Source organism: Homo sapiens, chromosome 3 (genome assembly GCF_000001405.40).
Source record: "Homo sapiens chromosome 3, GRCh38.p14 Primary Assembly".
NCBI lineage: Eukaryota > Metazoa > Chordata > Mammalia > Primates > Hominidae > Homo > Homo sapiens.
The window spans coordinates 167,803,309-167,827,023 of NC_000003.12; the positions used below are offsets into that span (position 1 = coordinate 167,803,309).

General features: G+C 37.8%; 1 protein-coding gene across 3 annotated transcripts in view, besides 1 other annotated feature; it reads left to right on the forward strand.

Moving 5' to 3' along the window:
• The window catches only part of SERPINI1 (serpin family I member 1), an 89,849-nt gene extending 67,588 nt beyond the window's left edge, over positions 1 to 22,261 (forward strand). For all 3 annotated transcript variants that reach the window (NM_005025.5, NM_001122752.2, XM_017006618.3), the window contains exons 6-9: positions 3,936 to 4,033; positions 19,678 to 19,764; positions 21,165 to 21,254; positions 21,939 to 22,261. In NM_005025.5, coding sequence (NP_005016.1) covers positions 3,936 to 4,033; positions 19,678 to 19,764; positions 21,165 to 21,254; positions 21,939 to 22,015 — 352 coding nt within the window. In that variant the 3' untranslated portion in view covers positions 22,016 to 22,261. The remainder of the gene's footprint in view (positions 1 to 3,935; positions 4,034 to 19,677; positions 19,765 to 21,164; positions 21,255 to 21,938) is intronic.
• Positions 12,799 to 12,998: a silencer, noted in NCBI's record as "fragment chr3:167533895-167534094 (GRCh37/hg19 assembly coordinates)". NCBI's record gives its function as "represses an EF-1alpha promoter that drives an FKBP-Casp9 reporter gene in an ReSE screen in HepG2 liver carcinoma cells and K562 erythroleukemia cells {active_cell/tissue: HepG2 | K562}" and the evidence as "EXISTENCE:reporter gene assay evidence [ECO:0000049][PMID:32094911]".

The following is a 23,715-nucleotide window of genomic DNA, read 5'->3' on the forward strand; positions in this document are numbered from 1 at the left end:
AAATAAGACAATAGATTTGGCTGATTTACAGTTAAGGTGGCAGGGATTAATATAGCTATTTAATCAAATTACACCAATTACTACTGGAATGCAAACATACGACACCCTAACATCTATAATAATGTGACATGTTATACATAACTACAATATAATAAATGATATTAATGGTATCTACTCCTCGTTGCATGCCTCCTGCATGCTAGCACCATCCTATGATCTAACCTTATTTAATCTTTCCAACAATGCTATGAAATAGGTATTATTATTGCCATTTTCCTGTGCCAAAACTGAGCCTCAGAAATTAAGAAACTTGCCGAAGTTCGCCTGGATCGGTCACTCATCATCACCTGACTAGCTAGTGTTTCATCACTAAAGTGTGAAACAAACTAAGCTGCTTTTAAGAAGCAAAAAGAATCCCCTACTAATATCTTCCTTCTCTTTCTTATTTTAAATGGATCAGGACAACTGTAATACCACCTGGATCCATAGCCCTGCTATGCTACTTATTAACTGTATGACCTTGGTTATACAGGTTATTTCATCTTTCTGCTACTCAATGTTTTCTATTACCTGAGAATAACAAAAATACCTGCTTCAAGGGTTGTGGTGATATTTAAATTAATATCTGTTTTATGCTCTTGCAAGTTTCTGGCATATACTAAGCTCCACATAAGTGTTCAAAAATAAATAGTAGCAATAAGCAAACGCATACACACATAAACATTTTAAGCCATTGAATGTATTGTCTGAGACATTCTGTATTTTCTTACTCATTCCCTTTTTTGAGATGGATACCATAGAACAATTCTACTTCACAATCAATACCTGCTTTTGGTAGAAAACAAAATAAATAATATCAAGTCAAAGTGCAAAATTTAGATAAAATTTAGCACTCAGTTTAGTTTGTTTGATATACATGTACTCATCTGTCAATCATATTTTTCCATAACTGTGAACCTGCTAAGACTATTTTCCACTAATCATTCCTTTTGTTTACCGCCATCATTTCCTTCTCATTTTCCTTAAAACCAGACATTAGAAATGATGCTAATGAAACTTTTTGTTGACTATCACGGACTTATCTCTGTTAAGAGAACAACCTATTGCCTTAAATTTTATATTTATAATCTGTATTAATTAGGAGGCAACATCTTAGAAAAAGTGAAGCATTTTGTTCTAACTAGTTGTTTTCACTTTTAAAATAAAAGTAATAAATGCCTTTGCTTGTTTAAAAATGTATTTCTTCAGGCATGGTGTTTTATGTCTGTAGTCCTAGCTACTCAGGAGGCCAAGGCAGGAAGATTGCTTTAGACCAGAATTTCAAGATCAGCCTCAGCAATAAAGTGAGACCCACATCTACACAAACAAATTAAAAACAAAAAATAAAAGCCAGGTGCTGTGATGTGCACCTGTAGTCCTAGCTACTTGGGAGGCTGAAGCAGGAGAATTGCTTGAGCCTGGGGGTTCGAGGCTGCAGTGAGGTGTGATCATGCCACTGCACTCTAGCCTGGGTGACAGAGTGAAACCCTGTCTCACACACACAAAAATATGTTACATGATGCAGGCATGCTTGGTCCATGTCTTTCACAAGAAAGTTTGGTGATACAATTCATTAGTTTGGGGAAGAGTCCATATTAAGACCAATATGGCTTGCTGTGGAAACTATTTTTTAAGTTAATATTCTGTTTACGATCACTATATTTATTTTCATTTTGTTTTAAAATAATGTTTTATTTTTTCAAAATTGATACACATTTATATATAATAATTCATAAGGTCAATTAAAACAAAAATAAAGACCCATGATTCTTTTGTTTAAAAAAACTCTTAAGTGTACTAATTTACACTTCCACCAACAGTGTAAAAGCATTCCTATTTCTCCACAGCCTCGCTAGCATCTGTTGTTTCCTGACTTTTTAATAATCACCATTCTGACTGGCGTGAGATGGTATCTCATTGTGGTTTTTGTTTTCATTTCTCTAACGACCAGTGATGATGAGCTTTTCTTCATGTTTGTTGACTGCATAAATGTCTTCTTTTGAGAAATGTCTGTTCATATCCTTTGCCCACTTTTTGATGAGGTTGTTTTTTCTTGTAAATTTGTTTAAGTTCCTTGTAGATTCTGGGTATTAGACCTTGTCAGATGGATAGATTGCAAAAATTTCTCCCATTCTGTAGGCTGCTTGTTCACTCTGATGGTAGTTTCTTTTGCTGTGCAGAAGCTCTTTAGTTTAGTTAGATCCCATTTGTCAATTTAGGCTTTTGTTGCAATTGGTTTTGATGTTTTAGATATGAAGTCTTTGCCCATGCCTATGTCCTGAATGGTATTGTCTAGGTTTTCTTCTAGGATTTTTATGGTTTTAGGTTTTACATTTAAGTCTTTAATCCATCTTGAGTTAATTTTTGTATAAGTTGTTAAGGAAGGGGTCTAGTTTCTGTTTTCTGCGTATGGCTAGTCAGTTTTCGCAGCACCATTTATTAAATAGGGAATCCTTTCCCCATTGCTTGTTTTTGTCAGGTTTGTCAAAGATCAGATGGTTGTAGATGTGTGGTGCTATTTCTGAGGTCTCTGTTCTGTTCCATTGGTCTATATATCTGTTTTGGAGTACCATGCTGTTTTCTAAAACCAGAAATACCATTTGACCCAGCAATCCCATTACTAGGTATATACCCAAAGGATTACAAATCATTATATTATAAAGACACATTCACATGTATGTATATTGAAGCACTATTTACAATAGCAAAGACTTGGAACCAACCCAAATGTCCATCAATGATAGACTGGATAAAGAAAATGTGGCATATATATGCCATGAAATACTATGAAGCCATAAAAAAGGATGAGTTCATTTCCTTTGCAGGGACATGGATGAAGCTGGAAACGATCATCCTCAGCAAACTAACACAGGAGCAGAAAACCAAGCACCGGATGTTCTCACTCATAAGTAGGAGTCGAACAATGAGAACATGTAGACTTAGGGAGGGGAACATCACACACTGGGTCCTGTCTGAGGGGGTAGGGGGGCAAGGGGAGGGAGAGCATTAGGACAAATACCTAAATGCATGTGGAGCTTAAAACTTAGATGATGGGTTGATAGGTACAGCAAACCACCATGATACATGTATACCTATGTAACAAACCTGTATGTTTTGTACATGTATCTCAGAACTTAAAGTAAAAAAAAAATTCTTCAGTGTAAAAGCACATGGTTTTTAAGATATAATGTTTAACTCACTCTCCATTGATTAATAGTTTTTTTGTGATGATATCATGAGAACAGGTTTATGTTTTAGAGATCACTATAACCATAAAGATACATTTTTAATGTAGTGCATTTTATTTTTGCTTTCTCTGAGTTGTAGGGAGCTGAAATGCTAAATGTATTTATTGCAAAATAGAATTTGGGTCTAATTTAACCTTGTCCATGGCATTGATGTGGGTGGGAGTTGCACAGTGGCAGAGGGAAAGTAACATAAATTGACCAGGATACTAAGAAGAGAATGAAATAACCGAGGTAAATGTATGATTAGTCATCTCCAGCTTAAAAAAAAAAATAAAATATATTACTACTAGGTCAAAGGATTTTGAAAGCTACTCATTTACAAGTTTTACTCAATACTATGATACTAAGTAATCATATGGTAATGATACTTGATCTCAAAACTCATTTGTTGTACCATATATTATGGTTTTGTGTCTATATCATATATTTTCCTACTTATGTGTTTAAATTCTATTTTGTTATGTCAATCTCTTTGATGCCACCTATTTTTCCATGTTCAATCAAATGCTAATTGCAGTCAAAAGCCAGTTTTAGCATAATTTACTCTCCATAAAGCAGACTTTAAATATCCACATATCTAACACTTTGTTCTTGTTCCAGGTAACAAGATGCTCTAACTAAATATTTTTCTCCCTATGTGTTCTCCAGGTTCACAGTGGAACAGGAAATTGATTTAAAAGATGTTTTGAAGGCTCTTGGAATAACTGAAATTTTCATCAAAGATGCAAATTTGACAGGCCTCTCTGGTAAGAAATAAACACAAATTTTTAAAAATGTTATTCCATAAGAGCTTTATTAAATGATGATATTAAATCCTCTATTTACTATGGAGTTCTGGGGTAAAATATAGTTACCACTTGCCAAATAAATCTAGCATGAAATACATTTAACCTCTACAAGCAAAACTATAGATATAGTCTTAACATTAAGTTTATATTATCTAGTTCGTATCATATCTTTGACAATAGATTATATTCTCCGGAAGACCTGTCTTAAACATCTTTGGATTCCCCATCCCATCTGACATAATGCCTTGTAGAATAGGTAATCAATAAATGTGTTGATTGACTATCTCAATATGTCCCATTGTAGTAAATCATGTAAGAAAGAAAGAAGGGAGGATAAATGAGTGACTGCTGTGAGAGCTAGACCAAAGATCCTTTTTAAAAGAATAAAGAATACCCAGTGAGATGGTATAAACATGTTCTAATTCTTTAATAAAAAAATAAATAAACAGTGGGCTGGGCATAGTGGCTCATGCCTGTAATCCTAGTACTTTGGGAGGCTGAGGTGGGGGGATCACCTGAGGTCAGGAGTTTGAGACCAACCTGGTCAACAGAGTGAAACCCCATCTCTACTAAAAATACAAAAAATTAGCCACACATGGTGGTGGGTGCCTGTAATCCTAGCTACTCGGGAGGCTGAGGCAGGAGAATTGTTTGAACCCAGGAGGCAGAGGTTGAAGTGAGCCGAGATTGCACCATTGTACTCCAGCCTGGGCAACAACAGCGAAACTCTGTCTCAAAAAATAGTAATGATAATAAATAAATAAATAAATAAATAAATAGTGGTTTTAAAGAAGTAACTTCAAAGTATACCTGGCACATTGGGGTGTCTAGTAATTTATTTTAAATATCCCAAGAAAAAAATCCAATTGAATTATTTGATTCAAATACCCTATTTTTTTCAGAGTAAAAAAAAAAATCACAAAATATTAGCCATGTTAAAGCATTTATAATTTGTAAAATACTTTGGAAGTATTTTTAAGTAGCTAACCCCAAGAAATTTGCCATCACAAAAAGGCAACAATGAACTTAAGACTGAGTAAATAAGTTATATAAGGATTATTTTTATCATTTCCTTAGAAGAGAGAAAATAAAAATACAATCTGTTTTCTGATGAGATAAAGATAGATATATATTAAGATAAAAGAAACTCAACATGTAAGGCCTCTTTATATGCAAATTATTTAACCCAAATTTCCAAATAGCACTGAGATGATAGATTCCTTAGCAGTTCCTGTGTTAAAGGAGAGAATTTAGTTTTCTTAGCCTGAAGCAGCAGCCTATAGAGAATCAAGCTGACCAAACTATAGCTTCTAAACCTGGAGTGTGAGGGCCCATAGACTGAATTCAGAGAAGCTGATGCCCTCCAACCCTTGAAATTGCATATAAATATGTGCACACAATGCATCTGCACATATACATGTAGGTGTGTGTGAGAGAGAAACAGTTTGGGGGGCTCGTATTAATAGCTTTCGAGAAATTCTCAGTGTGTCTGTGATGAAAAAAGCCTTTGTCCTCCCAGATTTAGGATTGAACGTGTTGTTTTCTAAACAGCACTCAGCTTCTAGCAATGAGTTGATACTAATGTATTTGGTACAACTTCTACCCCTCGTTCAGAGAGCTTACAGCCCTAAACACTAATAGAGCTTTTCTAAATGTCTACTATATAAATGTTCCTGTCCACATAAGAGAAATGAGCTTTCCCTGAGTAAATGTTTTCATGGCTTATATCCAAGCTTCTAGGGCTCTGAACTCTTCAATGGGGTTATCAAGAATGTAGGACTGGTAGAGATTCAAAATATAATGTGGTATCTGTACCTGAGTCAGAAATATATTCATGGCTGAAGCTTAGCATAATTTAACATTGTCATTCTCTCTTCTTTAGGAATTGAGAGAAATCTGTCTTACCATACTGGCCAAATTCCAATTGGATAATTACATTGTACTTTCTTAACGTGGCTCTATTTTCAGTTTGATTAGTAATTCCTCACTGTCTCACCCAAACATCTAGGAAGTTATTTCAAACAAATAGACTACCTGCTGCCTCTCAGTCCTGACGGAGTAGCACTGCAGTGGGAAATCAATTATTGTGGTCAGTGTAGCTTATAATTTCTAACATATTTGGAAGGTTTATAAGGTAATATTTAATTGCCTTTGCAGAGACAGAGACAATAGACCATAAATATGCATTATGATAACAGATGGTTTAGAGATTGGAAATAACACTAGAATCTTCCAGAGAATTAATACATTCTATATGCAAAGTATCTGTTTGTTTGATCAAAACTTCCGTGGGAATTGAATCCTTCTCTGTGTCCTACTCACAGTTGTATTCCTGGTACCTTGTAAAAAACTGACATATAGTTGACACACAGTGAATGTTCACTGAAGGGTAAAAAAGATGAGGGGAAGAAGACAAGAGGTTTATTTGGCCCCACATTACATACAGTCTAAGGACTATTTGCCCCCTTAAACATAAGTAAAAAAATCCTGGATTTGCCATTCTCAAATACCACCCCATTCAGGTTTTCAAGATCACTTGATAAAAGATCTAAAGCAAACTTCCCAGTCTTTCAGTGGGAATTCTTTGATTATTACATTATTAGTTTTGCCAGAGTCTAAGCAGCTCCAGTATGCCATCCACCCTAACCAATATATCCTTACATTCCCCATGCCATGCACACACACATTAATTTATGAATCATTCATTCAAAAATTATTGTTTTAATTATAAAACTTGCCCCTTTTTTTCCTCTAAATTAATAGCATTTATCTCTTCATCATTTATTTGAGCACCATATGCTCTGCTTTGTAAGGTTGGTATCATTTTCATATGTCTAGTTTTTTCCTCTCCAAATAACATAACCTTGATGATTAATGTCTATAACTCTTCATAACCCCCATAAATACCCAGGAAAATTATTTGCATGCATTTTGTTTCTACTTTAATGAGAATCTCATGGTGTTTAGGATATATAAAGGCTTACCTCAATATATTACAGGTTTGGCTCTATACCACTGCACTAAAGTGAATATTCCAATAAAATGAGTCACATGAATTTTTTGTTTCCCAGTGCATATAAAAGTTATATTTACACTATACCATAGTCTATTAAAGGTACAAAGACATTATGTCTGAAAAAGTAAAGCATATACCTTAATGTAGAAATACTTTATTGCTGAAAAATGCTAATGATCATCTGAGCCATCAGTGAGTCATAAGCTTTTTGTTGGTGGAGAATCTTGCCTTGATATTGATGGTTTCTAATAGACCAGGGTGGTGGTTGCTGAAGGATGGAGTGGCTGTGGCAATTTCTTAAAATAAGACAACAATGAAGTTTGCTGCATCCATGTACTCTTCTTTCCATGAACAATTTCTCTGTATCATGCAATGCTGTTTACCCACAGTACAACTTCTTTCAAAATTGGAGTCAGTCCTTTCAAACCCTACCACTGCTTTATCAACTAAGTTTCTGTCATAGTTTAAGTCCTTTGTTGTCATTTCAACGTTGTTCGCAGCATCTTCACCAGGAGTAGATCTCATCTCAAGAAACCACTTTCTTTGTTCATCCCTATGAAGCAACTCCTCATCCATTTAAATTTGATCATGAGATAGCAGCAATCTAGTCACATTTTCAGGGTTCACTTCTAATTCAAGTTCTCTTGCTGTTTCTACCACATCCACAGTTACTTCCTACAATGAAATTTTGAAACTGTCAGTTATAAAAGTCAGAATCAACTTCTTCCAGACCCCTGTTAATGTTGCTATTTTGATCTCCTTCCATGAAACATCAGTGTTTTTATTGGCATCTAGAATGCTGAATTCTTTCCAGAAGATTTTTTCTTTGCCCAGATTTTGGATCTGGGCAAAGAGGCCAGGAATTCTTCCTAACATCTGCAATGCCCAGGAGAGCTCCTCCACAACAAAGGATTATCCAGCCAAAATTGTCAATAGTGAAAAGGCTGAGAAATCCTATACTGGAGAAAGCATGTGGAAACAGAGAAGAAAAAAAAATTAAAAGACAGAATGGGAACATATTAGGTCAAAAGACAGAGGAGTCAAGCATATGAAATGGCTAAAAAAAAAAAGAAAAAGAAGAGAAATGAAAAGACATAGAACAATATATGTATGTATATAGGCTTTTAAATGGCTAGAAAATATTTGAACAATATCTTAGAAAGTGATAACGGCAGTTGCCTCTGGAACACGGGACAGAGGCTTTAGATGAAAGAGGAGTTTTCATTTCATATACTGCTCTGTAGTGTTTGGAATTTTACCTTGTATATGTATTGCTTTTTTAATTAAAATTGTTACTTAAAAATTAGAAAAAACTTTTAAAAAATACCATTAATAGGCCAGGCGCAGTGACTCATGCCTGTAATTCCAGCACTTTGAGAGGCCTACACAGGACAGTCCAGGAGTTCAAAACCACCCTGGGTAACATAATGAGACCTTGTTTCTTATTTAAGAAAAAGTCATTAATAATAGAATTAATTAGCAAATTTGAAATCACCCAGAGAATAATTCAGTACTATCATTATATTGTTACTTTCTTAAATTATGTGATAAAATTGTATCTTTCTTCAAAAATAGCATATGTGATTTAGCAGTGGGGAAAAATAAAACCTGCTTTGCTTTCTCTTGCTTCTAGAAAAACGGAGTGACTTGAGATCTTTTGCTAAGACCTCTCAAGTCCACTCTTTCATTTTTTATTCCATGGCATCCACTCTTATTTGAGACTCTCATTACTGCTGTTGTAGACTATTTCAATAGCCTTCTAAACAGTTTCCAATCTCTCTCCAATCTAATCTATTTTATCTGCCACTGCCAAGATTAATCGCCTTAAAAACTTACTCTTAGATCATTCCAGTTCCTGTTCAAAGCCAGCCTTCAGTCACCTGTGCCCCATCCGCTGCTCAGCAGGGCATTGAGACCAGGCTTCACTCTGGTTGATTCCATATACACAACTCCTGCCCAGCCAAACTAAATACTCACTCTGTGTCTCACCTGTCCCCAGCTCTCTGCCTTTGTGAAGTCTCTTCCACAAGAAAAATCTCCTGCACTGAACCTCAGCTTTAATATCCCCAATTTCATCAAGGCATCATGACTACACCAACCAGAAGTAATCGTTCCTTCTTAAATTCCTGATACCTTGTGCCTTTCTTTATGGCACATATATCTTTTTATCTCATATTATTGTTATTTATGTGTCTAATATTCCCTGCCAGAATTTAAACCCTCCAAGATTGATTCTTACACATGTTTCCTATAGTGCCCAGCACTGTGCTTTCTGCTTAGGACCTACTGAATGAAGAAATGAATAAAATGAGATGCTCGATATTTATTACATTTATTTTTTATTTCAATTTGATATCCATTGCTTTTGTTGGTAAATTCCATTAACATAAAACACAGTAAAGGCTCATACAATAAACATGGATTATAGAAAGTGCTGAGAATCATTTTCTTCTCAGGCTCTATTTAAAATGCTCATCTACTTGCAGCGAGGATCCTGTTATAGAGAAGGTCTATTTTTGTAATGGAAATGGATGACTGTCAGCATTTGGATTAATAGATAATCCTCTTGGAAGGTGTAAGGGGAAGGAGAAAGAGAGTACTAAATCCTTCAGCATCAAGTACAAGCTTTAATAAAGGAGCCAATAAAATAAAGGAATTAAGAAGACACACCAAAAGCCATATTCAGGTCAGACTCAAGTGCTGTTGATTTATGCTGGACCTACTCTTACCCTCTGCCCTTGTTTGTTCTCTTTCTTCTTGCGCCTGTAAACTACAAGGCTCTATTTCTCTCATTGCCATAATTCCAATTCTTCTACTTTCTTGCCTGGATTACTGCAACAGCTAACAAAGTTCATCTTCCTGCCCCCAGCTGTTTGCTTATCTGATTCACCCTGCACAGCAGCTGCCACAGCTATCTTCTAAAATCAAAGCATTGTGTCCCATTACTTCTGGACAAATCCAGGCTCTCTAGCATCATCGTCAAAGCTCTTAAAATTATGTCCTCTCCTACTCCCCAACCTCCTCATAGCTCAGGCTCCAGCTGGACCTTCAAGAGATCCCCACTGGGGATGTAAAGTTTCTCTCACTTTACAAATGGAATCTTCTGCTTGGAATGTCCATCTTGCCTTCTCTGACTTTTCACTCTTACTAATTGTTTAAGAGCAAGTTGAAAGGTCGACACATCAGAGACGTTTGACCTGACATTCCTCTTCCTTCCTAAATGGTTTACTTTTCCTTATGTGGAATCTGGTAGCACTTTGCACACACCTCTGTTAGCACGTTTCATTTTCTCCTAGACTATTTGTTTACATACTTGTCTCTGAGCTCAGAGCTATTCAAAAGCATAGACATCTTTCTGTCCCCAGAACACAGAAGAGAATTTGTGGTGGGGGACAGGGTAGATACCGAGTGGGTGAGTGTTGTGAGTAAATTTCACTGTACCCCACCTGGCTACAAGCATGGGGACTTCTCTCATACTTCCTGCCCTCCCCACTGCAGCCACACAGCCCCTTCTTTGGGTCCTTAAGCATGCCCAGTTTGTATCTGCCTCTGCACTAGCTTTTCCTTCCATCTGAAATACTCTCCCTTTATTTCTTCCAGTGGCTGGCTCCTTTGTATTCCTTCATTCTCAGCTAAGATTTGCCCTCTGAGACCCACCTTTCTGAATAACCTGTGTCAAATAGCTCCTCTTCGCTGCCCCAGTCACTAACCAACATATCACCTTATCTTGTTAGCTTAGTTATACTTACTATACCCTGAAATTGTAGTCATTTATTGATTCACTTTTTTATTGTTCTTTTATTTGATGTCTGCTTTCCTCTCATTAGGAAGGAACTATTTAGTTCATCATAGTATACCTGGTGCATCTGGCTCATAGTAGGTGCTCAGCACATGAATGAATGAATGAATGAACCAATAAATGAATGTTTGCTGGTTTTGTAAAAAATCTATCCAGAAAAGCAAACAAAGAAACATTATTCCTATCGTAAGAGAACTCAAATTCTAGGAACTTTTATAAATTTCATGGGTGGGGCTGAAGCTAAAAATATTTTGGCAACTAAAGCACAGAGACACTTTTGGTATGCTAGGGTTCTGTTATAATACTCTCGTCATTTTGTTATTTTAAGCATGCCGTTCATGACGCAGAAATCTATTTAAATTGGCTGAATTTAGGAACAGTGCCACAGAGGAAGTAGTGGCCTACACTTGCATGATGGCTATCCTGCAAGCATGATGTTAATCTCAGATACTTAGAGCCTTTGGTGCCCTGCACAATACCGCATATGTAGTGGGTACTGAAGAAATATTTACTAAGTGACTGAATGAATGCCTTTGTAGTCTTGCCCTGCTTTTTTCAGAAGAGCTTGAATTATTGCCCAGTTCTTCTCTGGGGGAACCTAGGGTTTACTGGCCCTGTTCCCATCTCATCCATTGTAAAAATCCTGGCCTCATGCTGCCTGGAGGAAAGTAGGACCAGTCATTTGGCAGCACTGTCTGCTGTGGCCAGAAGGAAAAGGCTGCTTGGTGCCAGCAGATTTAAAAACAAAAAACTATTTGCCTTTGCTTGATTGTTTGAGAGAATAGCTAACTTTTCTCTAACCAACAAGACAAGCTCATCAGTGTAAGTCTCCTTCATACCCCTTTGCATTCTGATTCAATTTATCAAATATCTGAGTGCATACCTGGTACCCGGCAGTGTGCAAGGTGTTGTGCATAAGATAAGTAGAACAGGCAAAGTCCAGGCCTTGAAGAGTGTATGGCCTAGCAGGAAAGATGGTCTTGATTGTCTACTGCATGACATCGCCTGTTTCTCTGCATGACCTGATCTACTTCTAAGATTTTGTGGCTGCAGACACATGCTTGCTTAGACCACTTTCTGGTTATATTTTATTTTAATGAGACTGCTTGAAGTTTGTCTCAAGAAAAAAAGGCTTCATTTTCTTTTTTTCCCCTTAGTACCTGTGATGTGATTTCTTTTTCTTTTTTTTTCTTTTTTTTTCTTTTTTGTGAGATGGAGTCTCACTCTGTCACTCAGGCTGGAGTGCAGTGGCACAATCTTGGCTCACTGCAACCTCTGCCTCCTGGGTTCGAGCAATTCTCTGGCCTTAGCCTCCTGAGTAGCTGCTATTACAGGTGCATGCCACCACACCAGGCTAATTCTTGTACTTTTAGTAGAGACGGGGTTTCACCATGTGGGCCAGGCTGCTCTTGAACTCCTAACCTCAAGTGATCTGCCTGCCTCAGCCTCCCAAAGTGCTGGGATTACAGGTGTGAGCCACTATGCCCGGCCTTCTTATTTGTCCATTTTCTTCTACTTATGTATCCAATGGGATGGTGTTTTTCTGAAGGCTGATTGTCTTAAGGTCTCATTTACAGGTGTAGACATTTGCTATCCCTCATGTAGCAGTTAATCATGATATGGGAATCCAAACGTTGCATTCAATCTTTGCTGTCTTTGAAATAAATGCAATAGCACTAGTCTGCTGGATCCCATTCTCCTTACTCTTTTACTCAATCAGATTTTGAAGTCTTTTAGCACGTATGTGGCCTTTGCACTTTTTCCCTCTCTGCTGCTGTTGTCAATTTTCTTGGAACGTCTACTTTAGATTATTGTCTTATGTTTTATTTATTACAAGAATAAACTTAAAAAGAATTTGTTTTTGAGACAGGGTCTCACCCTGTGTCCAGGCTGGAGTGCAGTGGTGCGATCTTGGCTCACTGCAACCTCAACCTTCTTGAGCTCAGGTGATCCTCCCACCTCAGCCTCCTGAGTAGCTGGGACTACCACGCCCAGCTAGTTTTTGTAATTTTTTGTACAGATGGGGTTTTGCCATGTTGCCCAAGCTGGTATCCGACTCCTGGGCTCAAGCGATCAGCCCCAAGCGATCAGCCTGCCTCAGCCTCCCGTAGTGCTGGGACTACAGGCATGAGCCACAATGCCCGGCCTATTACAAGAATAAACTTTATAACCATAATTATGAACAGAGTTGTGGTCATAGTGCACATCAGATGACACTGAAAGACTTTATATACCCAAAGTCTTATAATATGAAATAGTTAACCACTTTCGTTCAACAATTACTGAAATCCTGTCTATGACAGTATACTGGGTTAAAGACTGGAAAATTGAACATTACCAGGAAACTCCCTCTACTAGGGTTAGCTCATTCTTTAGACCCTGCTATATGCCAGAAGACAAGGTTACTAAGAAAAATGACACAATCCTTGCCTTAAGGAAGTAGACTGTCCAGGAAGAGGGAAGCATCAGTGCAAATATGACATATTAGAAAGGCTTCAATAGAATTAGTTTCTGGGTTCAATAGGAGAGTGATCAGATCTACTTTAGTGATTTAGGAATTAGAGGAGAGCAGAAAAAGCCTCACAGAGCTAGATGCTGAGCTTCTAAACTAGATTAGGTGTCTTACTATACAACAAAAGTTGAGGGAGCTTCTAGGGAAACAAAGATACAGAAATGACAAAGCGTGCTATGTTGAGGCTGTTTCAGTTCATATAATTTGAAGCACGGCATATGGGGCAAAGAATGCTAATGGAAGGAAGCAAAGGCAGCCTGATGGAGGTCCTTATAGTTTATACTGAGCAGGTATGGAGGTTTGCAATATACTGAAGGTGAGGTGAGAGGGAGAGCAAGCAGGAGAGGGGATAAAATGTTTTAAGTGGAGTAGTGGCATAATTTGATTTGTATTTTGATAAGATCATCCCGGAGGAAGCTTTAAGGTGAACTGGAGGCAGTCAGGAGAGCATTTCTCTACTGCTGAGTCATGACACACTGTAACATCCATTGAAATTCATTCAAAAAGATGATTTGTATATGTTGCTAAGTTTAATTTTCTGATTTCTAAGGAATTTTATCTTCACGCTAATAGGTGAGCTTGGTCTATGATTTTCTTTCTTATATTGTTGGGTTTTTTTCATTTTTTACAGCAAAGTAAAATATCCACAGATGAGTTTGATAGCTTTTATTCTCTTTCTAATGTCTAGAACGGTTTTACAACAGGCAATCCTATCTGTTCCTTGAAGATTTGGTTAAAATCACCTAGAAAACCATCTAGGCTTGGAGTCTTTAATTTCAAGGATGGAGAAAGTTTTTGTATACTGATTCAATTACTTTAATGGTTACTGGATTATTCAAATATTCTATTTTTTTCCTTGACTCAATTTTATTTTTATTTATTTATTTATTTATTTTTATTTTTTTGAGACAGAGTCATGCACTGTCGCCCAGGCTCGAGTGCAGTGGCCGGATCTCGGCTCACTGCAAGCTCTGCCTCCTGGGTTCACGCCATTCTCCTGCCTCAGCCTCCCGAGTAGCTGGGACTACAGGCGCCCACCACCACGCCTGGCTAATTTTTTTTGTATTTTTAGTAGAGACGGGGTTTCACCGTGTTAGCCAGGGTGGTCCCGATCTCCTGACCTTGTAATCTGCCCACCTCGGCCTCCCAAAGTGCTGGGATTACAGGCGTGAGCCACCGCGCCCGGCCAAATTTTATAATTTACACATTTCTATAAAAGAGTCTAGCTCATGGTAAATCTCTTCATTTTCAAAATTATTCGCATAAAAAAGAACAAATACTTTTTTAGGATAGATGGAAATATTTTGGTTGTTTGTTTGTTTGTTTGTTTTTGAGATGGAGTTTCACTCTTGTCACCCAGACTGGAGTGCAATGGCATGTTCTCGGCTCACCGCAACCTCTGCCTCTCGGGTTCAAGAGATTCTCCTGTCTCAGCCTCCCTAGCAGCTGGGATCACAGGCACACGCCATCACGCCTGGCTAATTTTTTTGTATTTTTAGTAGAGACGGGGTTTCACCATGTTGGCCACCCTGGTCTCGAACTCCTGACCTCAGGTTATCTGCCCACCTTAGCCTCCCAAAGTGCTGGGATTACAGGTGTGAGCCACCGCGCCCGGCCAAATATTTTGTATTTTATTTGTGGAGAAAGGTTCACAGATATATGTATATCTATCAAAACTTATCAAATCATGTATAATAGATATTCATAGTAAATAACTTATAATCTCATAAAGTTAATTAACATTTACTGCAGAAAATTATACATAGTATTTTTTGTGATAAAAAATTATTTTCCATATTCTTGGGTATGTTCTTTTTTTGCTCTTAATATTGTTTATTTGGACAATCTCTTCTTTTTTTTAATGAATTTTGTTTAAAAGTTTGTCCAGTTCATTATCTTTTAAATAACTAGCTCTCTGAGAATAACCCTTAGCATCTTTGTTTTCTTTCTCTTTCTGCCGTAAGTACCTTGCAATATCCCTGCCACAACTACCACCACCATCATTTTGGTGGGGCAAGTGCGAACAGGCAATAAAGTAGGTGACTAGAGGATATTACAACATTTGGGACACAGGCTAGTAATAAAGGGATGATTTTTCTTGTTTCAAAGTGCCTACTGCAGCCAGCTGGTCAAGCCTCATAGCTATTGGAGGCAATTTCCTATGTGCAAATTGATGTAGTTGGAATATTATGTGGTGTCTTTGAGGAGAACCCCTTTTAGAATTCTTCAGAAGGGCTTAGCTGACAATGTGGATACTCATTACCCTGTAGGAACTGGGTTCTAGCACCTTTGTATTCAAGGTCATGATATTGGCTCTTGATGCTTAACTCACAGACTGATGAAAATGGGCAGCAGAATCTGAAAATAATACAGCATCAAATAGCTGCTAGTTAATATATTTTACTGTCTTAAAATTTATTTTTTAAATGTTTTCTTTTTTATTATTACTATTTTAAAATTAAAATTAGTATTATTTTATTTTACATAGAGATGAAGTCTCACTATATTGTCTAAGCTGGTCTTGAGTTTCTGGGCTCAAGTGATCCTCCTGCCTCAGCTTCCCTGAGTGCTGGGATAATAGGCATGAGCCACTGCGCCCAGCTACTGTCTTGAAATTTATGTGCTGATTTTACCAACTAAATATATTCGGTTACTTAACACAATTTAAATTTTTCTTAAAAAAAACACTACTCTTTTGGATTTGAGGGAGCTAATTATACTTTATTACTAAATGTGAAAACTTGATTGCTTTTTTATTTTTCTTCTAGTCAACAAATACATTCTAGAAGAAAACATCATAATATGTGAAATGGACTATTTAATAATGCACTACTTATATCTTAATACCAAATAAGATCTGAGGAAGTAATATTCCCATTAAAAGTATATTCAGAGATGCCATTGTTAGTTGTCTTGGGGCTTATTCAAAGTAATCAGGTCCTCTGTAACAGATGTACCAAAATGTTGAAAATCCTTCCTTATATGTACAAGATAATTATGTGCTTTTCAAAGCTTGAAGGAAAATGTATTTTGTGGGTAGAACTTGATACTTACAAAGTCTAACTAAGCAACCTAATGGGAAATCAATTGTGCTTTTAATGATGCTGGACATCAGCAACAAAGTTATTTATCTGAAATCTGAATTAGATCTCCTGGAATTGAAAGAGGGGTTATAAATTTGAGTAATTCTTTTTCTTACTCTCCTGTGCTCTTTCGAAAAATGTATTTGAGGCATCTTTTGTTTGTTTTGTTTCTTTCTTAGGGAAAAGTTGAAACCCCAAGATTGAATGCCATTTTATGGTTTGCTAGGGCTGCTGTAACAAGTAACAGGCTGAGTGGCTTAAAAAACAGAAATTTATTTTCTCACAGCTCTAGAGGCTGTAAGTCTGAAATAAAAGTGTCAGCAAGTTGGTTTCTTCTGAGGCCTCCCTTCTTGGTGTGTAGATGGCCGTCTGTCCCCTCTATCTTCACGTGGTATATTAGTCATATTTACATGATGGCAGTGGTGGCCTGTCTGGAGTGGCCGCTCCCATGACCCCGGCTACAGCAAGGGAGGGAGGAGCAGCCAGGGCTTCATGCTCCATGGAGCCAGCAGGAGCTGGGAAGAAGTGGAAGCCTGCCCCCTTCTGAGTTGGAGAGGCGGGAGCCCAGCCAACCTGGGCACAGCTGCTGTGGACCTGGGCATCTCTGCACTCTCCAGGCCCAGGAAGCCCCTGCCCACTGCAGGCTCAGAAGTGCCTGCTCCTACTGCCTGGCCTCTCCCTGATCCCGGAGACCACTCTGATTTCTGAGCAAAGTTGTGGCCCAGTCCAGGTGCTGTCATGAGCTGGCCGGGTGTGCACATGCCTGGGGCAGTGCTGACACATCAACCCCCTGCCGACTGGGCCCCCTCCAGACTTTGGGCACTGATGAGCATGGGAGGGAGGCCAAGAGGGGGCTAAAGGCAGCTCAGTGCAGGCCTGCAGGCGCCGCTCAGCACGGACAGCCTGGATGCCATGGGTACTGTGGAGGGCAGGCCAATGGTGGCAGGAGGCAGACAGGCTCCTGGGTGGAAAGGGGAGGGTCCCCAGTGAAACCCCACCTTCAGGCCAGGGATGACCTGAGGCCTGGGGTCCAGGCTGCCAGTTCTGTGGACCAGAATGAGAACTTACGGTGCTTTTTCCGCGCCACCTGTGGCCACCCATGGATCAATCAGCACATACTTCCTCCCCTCTGAAGCCTATAAAAACCCCCAAACTCAGTCAGACTTGAGCAGATGACAGGATGACCTGCCTGCAGAGAGGAGCTACCCACTGTGGGTCTCCTCTCTGCTAAGAGTTGGACACTCGTTGGGACAACCCGCCTGCAGAGAGGAGCTACCCACTGCAGTTCTCTGAGCTGTTCTGTCACTCTATAAAGCACCTCTTTGCCTTGCTCACCCTCCACTTGTCTACATGCCTCATTCTTCCTGGATGTGAGACAAGAACCTGGGACCCACCAAATGGCAGGACTGAAAGAGCTGTAACACAAATAGGGCTGAAACATGCCCCTTGCTCGCCGTGTTGTAGGCAGCAAGAAGGAGAGAAGAGAGAAGAGAAGTGCCGTGGCCCTTCAGGGAGCCCAGACCTAGTAGCTCCCGAGCCAGGGCTGTGACACCCGCTTTGAAGCTCTGCGGTTCCCGGTGTCTCCAAGCTTCCAAACGCCACCACATTTCCTGGTGCCAGCAGTGGAAGCTGCTTGTGGTACTTCTGGTCCAGCTGCAGCCTAGCAGTGAGCCAGCATCCATGCCAGTGCCTGGAGCTGCCTGCCCCACAGTAGCCAGAGTGCCTGACTGTGTGCAGCAGACAGACCCCATGCTCGCTCACTCACATGCCTCTCACCACTCCACACCTGGCTCGCCCTTGGCAAGTGTGGGATCCGGGCTGGTAGCACAAGCCAAGTGCAGCCTGCCAGGCCGAGTGGGCACAATGAACCCAGCAGGCCTAGGCAAAACTCAGGCAAAGGCACCACTGGCAACAGAGGTTTCCAGCTGATGAAGCGACACCCCAAGGATCCTGTAACATATGTATGTGTAAATATACAAACATATATACATACATAATTAGTCATTATATACATATTTCTGAAGAGAGAAAAATTTTAAGGAATTGGCTCATCATTATGGAGGCTTTGGATGCTCAAAATCTTCAGGTAGAGACCTGGAAAAAAATTGCAACCCAAAGGCAGCCTGCTGGCAGAATTCCTCCTTGCTTGGGAAGGGCCAGTCTTTGTTTTATTAAAGCCCTCAGCTGATTGGATGAGGCCTACCCACATTGTGAAGGTAATCTGCTTTACTCAAAGTCTACCAATGTCAATCTCGTCTAAAAGCACTGTTATAGAAACATCCAGACAGTTTGACTAAATATCTGAGCACCATGGCTCAGCCACGCTGACACGTAGAGTTAATTAACCATTACACAGGGCCTTCCCTCTGTACCTGTCTGTGTCCAAATTTCCTCTCCTTATAAGAACGCTAGTCATATTGGATTAGGACCCACCCTAATGACCTCATTTAAATTTAAAATTCTGTCTCCAAATATAGTCAATCTCTGAAGTACTGGGGGTTATGACTTTAACATATAAATTTGTGTAAAACATAATATAGCCTATAACAGCCATTACCTTAAAACAGGCATAAATAGGAAGGGAAAAACAGTCCTCCTAATGCTAAAAATGTGTTATTTCCTCTTATCTTAGGATAAAACGTGTTTGTGAATCCTCAGATAAACCAATTAATTGTAATGGAAAGTAACTTTTTCATAAATTTACATTATGAATCTAGAAGTCAATTTCATTTTTCTTTGCCAAGGGTATTTACATTATCATAGTAATTAAATATTAGGTTAAAAAAGGAAAAAATTTTTTATTCTGGCTGTTTCTGAATTTTTACTTGTTTTCATTTCATACTTTTATATTTAAAATTAAAGAGCAATGTGTGAGATATTTTAGTCTTGACTTATGAAATAATTTGAAGTCACTAGTAAAAAAAGTTTCCACTTTTTCTGAAAATATAAGACATACATATGGGAAAACCACCAATAAAAACAGAAAAGAAAATTAGCAAAAGAATATAAAATGAGGGCAAATTAAAAACCACATCTTCAATGGTTATCTCATTAATGAAATCTTTTAACATTATCTCCTAGGTTTTCTTCAGTATCCCAGTCTCTTAGATCTCTAAAATCCATTTAACAAAAGGGCAAAATATTTTCCTATCTCTGAATGAAAAAAAAAAATTTCTGATTCTCTTTTTGCAGATAATAAGGAGATTTTTCTTTCCAAAGCAATTCACAAGTCCTTCCTAGAGGTTAATGAAGAAGGCTCAGAAGCTGCTGCTGTCTCAGGTACTGTTTGCTAGAATCTTCTCCCCTCTTCTAGATTTGTATTTTTAGAGCAATCTTGAGTGGGGAGTGGGGTCATTTTCAAAATGAAGCCAAAAAAGTCACTCTGCTCTAACTTAGAAGTCAAGCAAATGCTGAACCAGCCGGAATTTTCTAAATAGAATGTGAAGTGTGAACTCACTCCAGTGCCCCTTTACAGATAACTCTCATCTTCATTTTCTCTCTAATGAGAGACAGGAGGACATTGGCAGTTCTGCGAAAATAGATTTTTTCTGCTGTGCTGCCTGTTTAAATATTTTAAATATTTTCCTGCTACCCATTTAAACATTTTTCTTCCTACCAAATTATTTGCTGAAGTTGATTCTTAATTTTGTCAGCAAAAAGTTCTTATTTTTTATTTTCATGGTTACATGGCAAATGTATATATTTATGGAGAATATGGGATATTTTTGATACAGGTATGTAATGCATAATAATGACATCAGGGTAAATGGGGTATTCATCACCTGAAGCATTTATCATTTCTTTTTATTACAAACATTTCAATCATACTTTTCCAGTTATTTTTAAATGTACAACAAATTGTTGACTTATAATCACTTTGATGTGCTATCAAATACTAGATCTTCATTCTATTTAACTGTATTTTCGTACCCACTAACTATCCCAACATACCCCACCTCTATCACTTTCATGATAGGATAGTATTTTCCGAAGTAAATAAGAGCATAGTAGCCTCAGGCATCAAGACAGCTTGAAATCTTACATGTAATCTGGACTTTCTTTTGACAATTAACTATACTGCAGCAAGTATATATCATCTTATAATGAGGATCTCAGGGGAATTTAGTAGCCCAGTCATAGGATACCTCGTTGTATCTCTCACTGTTATATTTTCCCTTTAATCACTGCCATCTTGACCACTTACTAGAAACCTGGTGACTTCCTATGTAAAAATACCCGCTTCAGACAAAAGAAATAATGATTTGAAAATATAGAGAAACTCTCTTCAGTTTTTGTTTGGGGATTTTTTTCTTTATTCTCCCCCTTCCTTTTACTCAAAAGTCATTTTAGTAAAGACACACATATTTATGTGAGGCTGAGAATAAACATTTCATAACAAGCAGAATAAATTGTCCTATTATTTTTAATGGAGTAGAAGGAAGAAATTGTTTGTTTGTTTTGTTTGTGGTGTGTGTTTGTTTTGTTTCGTTTTGCTTTTTAAAAAGATCAAGTAGAAATGTTAACACCTTTATAATTTTTCTCCAGTTAAGTCTTTAAAATCTTGTTTCCTGTAAATTGTTGTCTTTGCATTAGGTGGATAGGCATAGATGGTTTTGAGGAATTACTCATTAGTCTCTGCACATCCACAGACATATAATTACTTTTTATCTGCACTGTAGGAATGATTGCAATTAGTAGGATGGCTGTGCTGTATCCTCAAGTTATTGTCGACCATCCATTTTTCTTTCTTATCAGAAACAGGAGAACTGGTAAGTTTATTATGAAAACAAAATTTTATTTAATAGGTCACAAAGAACCTCTTTTTTAAATGGAGATTTTTTTCCTCAGTACTCATCATATAATTTCTTTTCACAATTTTATTTATTTATTCTCTTTCCAGAGATTGACCAACTGAATTATCAGATAGTTTATAATGTTGAAATGATTTTTTTTAATGAAAATAAGGCTGGTGAGGTGGCTCAGACTTTAATCTCAGCACTTCAGGAGTTCCAGGCAGGGAGGATCACTTGAGGCCAGGAATTCAAGACCAGCCTGGGTAACATAGTGAGACCCCATTTCTACATAAATAAAATTTTTAAAAAATTAGCCAGGCATGGTGGCACATGCCTGTTATCCTAGCTACTAGAGGTGTTGGGGGTGGAAGGAATGCTTGAGCTCAGGAGTTCACAGTTACAGTAAGCTCTGATAGAGCCACTGCACTCCAGCCTGGGCATCAGAGCAAGAGCCTTTCTCTAGAAGGAAAGAAGAAAGGAAAGGAAAGGGAAAGGGAAAAGGAAGGAAGAGAGAGAGGAAGGAAGGAAGGACAGGAGGAAGGAAGGAAGGAAGGAAGGAAGGAGAAAATAACATATTTTCATTAATTGTAAGCAAGAAGGAAGATAAATATTTTATTATTTTGTTCACCCCCTCTTTTGTTTACTTCTGAACCAATACAGGTACAATTCTATTCATGGGACGAGTCATGCATCCTGAAACAATGAACACAAGTGGACATGATTTCGAAGAACTTTAAGTTACTTTATTTGAATAACAAGGAAAACAGTAACTAAGCACATTATGTTTGCAACTGGTATATATTTAGGATTTGTGTTTTACAGTATATCTTAAGATAATATTTAAAATAGTTCCAGATAAAAACAATATATGTAAATTATAAGTAACTTGTCAAGGAATGTTATCAGTATTAAGCTAATGGTCCTGTTATGTCATTGTGTTTGTGTGCTGTTGTTTAAAATAAAAGTACCTATTGAACATGTGACTAGATCTATTTTTTTATTTTAGAAGTTGTAGTATAAAGATATCTCTAGGTGAACTTTGGAAACAATGTTTCTCTACCTCTTAAATCTCTTATGCAGGATCAAAACATCATAGTAAAATAGCATTATAAACTTATGCATAACAAGCAATAACAAGTGAGGTGAAGACAGGTACTCCACAAAAATTCTCACTGTAATTTCTTGGAAATAAGTGTATAGCGTAGGCAAAAGAATACAAACTGGACATCTTTCGTATTGCTTCATGACAAGACCTGTTAGAAAAAAACAACAGAGCTATGCAAATCTCAGATACCTATAGCTCATTTTTCCAAATCATTGAAAATTCATTTGGCTTCATATGCCTAAAGGAGTTTACAAGTCTGGTGTATCACTGTGTTTTGTTGCTGTAAGTAAAATCCAAGCTACAATTTCCCAAAAGCCCCAAAATAAACCACACGAGCAAACTAAAAATAAAAATATGCACTTTGGCACGTCACGGGAGAGTTAATTAGAAAAACCATGCTAGCACGCATACTGGAAAATGGCAAGTCACGGGACTGAACGCTGCCCACAGAAGTGTTCTTGTTTGCTCTACATGGGGCTTTTACATTTTGAATGTCTGTAATTGGAGTATCATGTTCCTTGTTTCTCCCGTTAATTACCTGAGTGGCTACTGGATGCATTTGTGTTTGAGATCTGGAGAGAGTTATAAGTAGCTCTCTGCAGAATATATTGGTCTTATTTTCTAATACAATAAATAGTTGATTCCAAAGGAGGTAGTGTCAACTTCAAGATCTCCAGTAAATTACTTTATCTTTTAATATTTCTTGGAAAAAAAATATTTCATAATATCTCATGAAATGAACTATTTCTGTTTAATGCCAAATTTGTAATTCTATGATGAACAGTTTCAGAAAAAGTTTGACACATTTCAAAATTTAACAGAAACAGTTTGCATGTTACTTTCTTATGTATTAGGTATTGTGCTGATTTGGACCTGTTTACAAGAATTGTTATTATCAATTATCATTAACTTTAATTCAGTTCATGAGAGTTTGGGAAAACCAGGCCAGATCTTAGACGTACTAAATTCAAAAACTTGAAAATCCACTTTTTCCCCCAAGCTTTCTTGGTGAATCTGTTACATGCTAAATCTTGAATACTGCTAAAGTAAAGGGTACATATGGAATACTCACTTATAACCAGTTTTTTAGATATGGTTAATTTATAGAAACTTAGATCAATCAACAAGTGTATTAAATCAATGCTTCTCAAACTTTATTGTGTAATGGAATCACCTGGGGATCTTATTAAAAATTCAGTTTATCATTCAGTAGGTCTAGGGGGTGGTCTGAATAGCCTGGAGTGTGTTTCTAACAAACTCCCAAGTAAGGCCTTTCATGTTTGTCCACAGACTGCTGTTTCTCACTTTGTTAGCATAACTCTACTTAATATT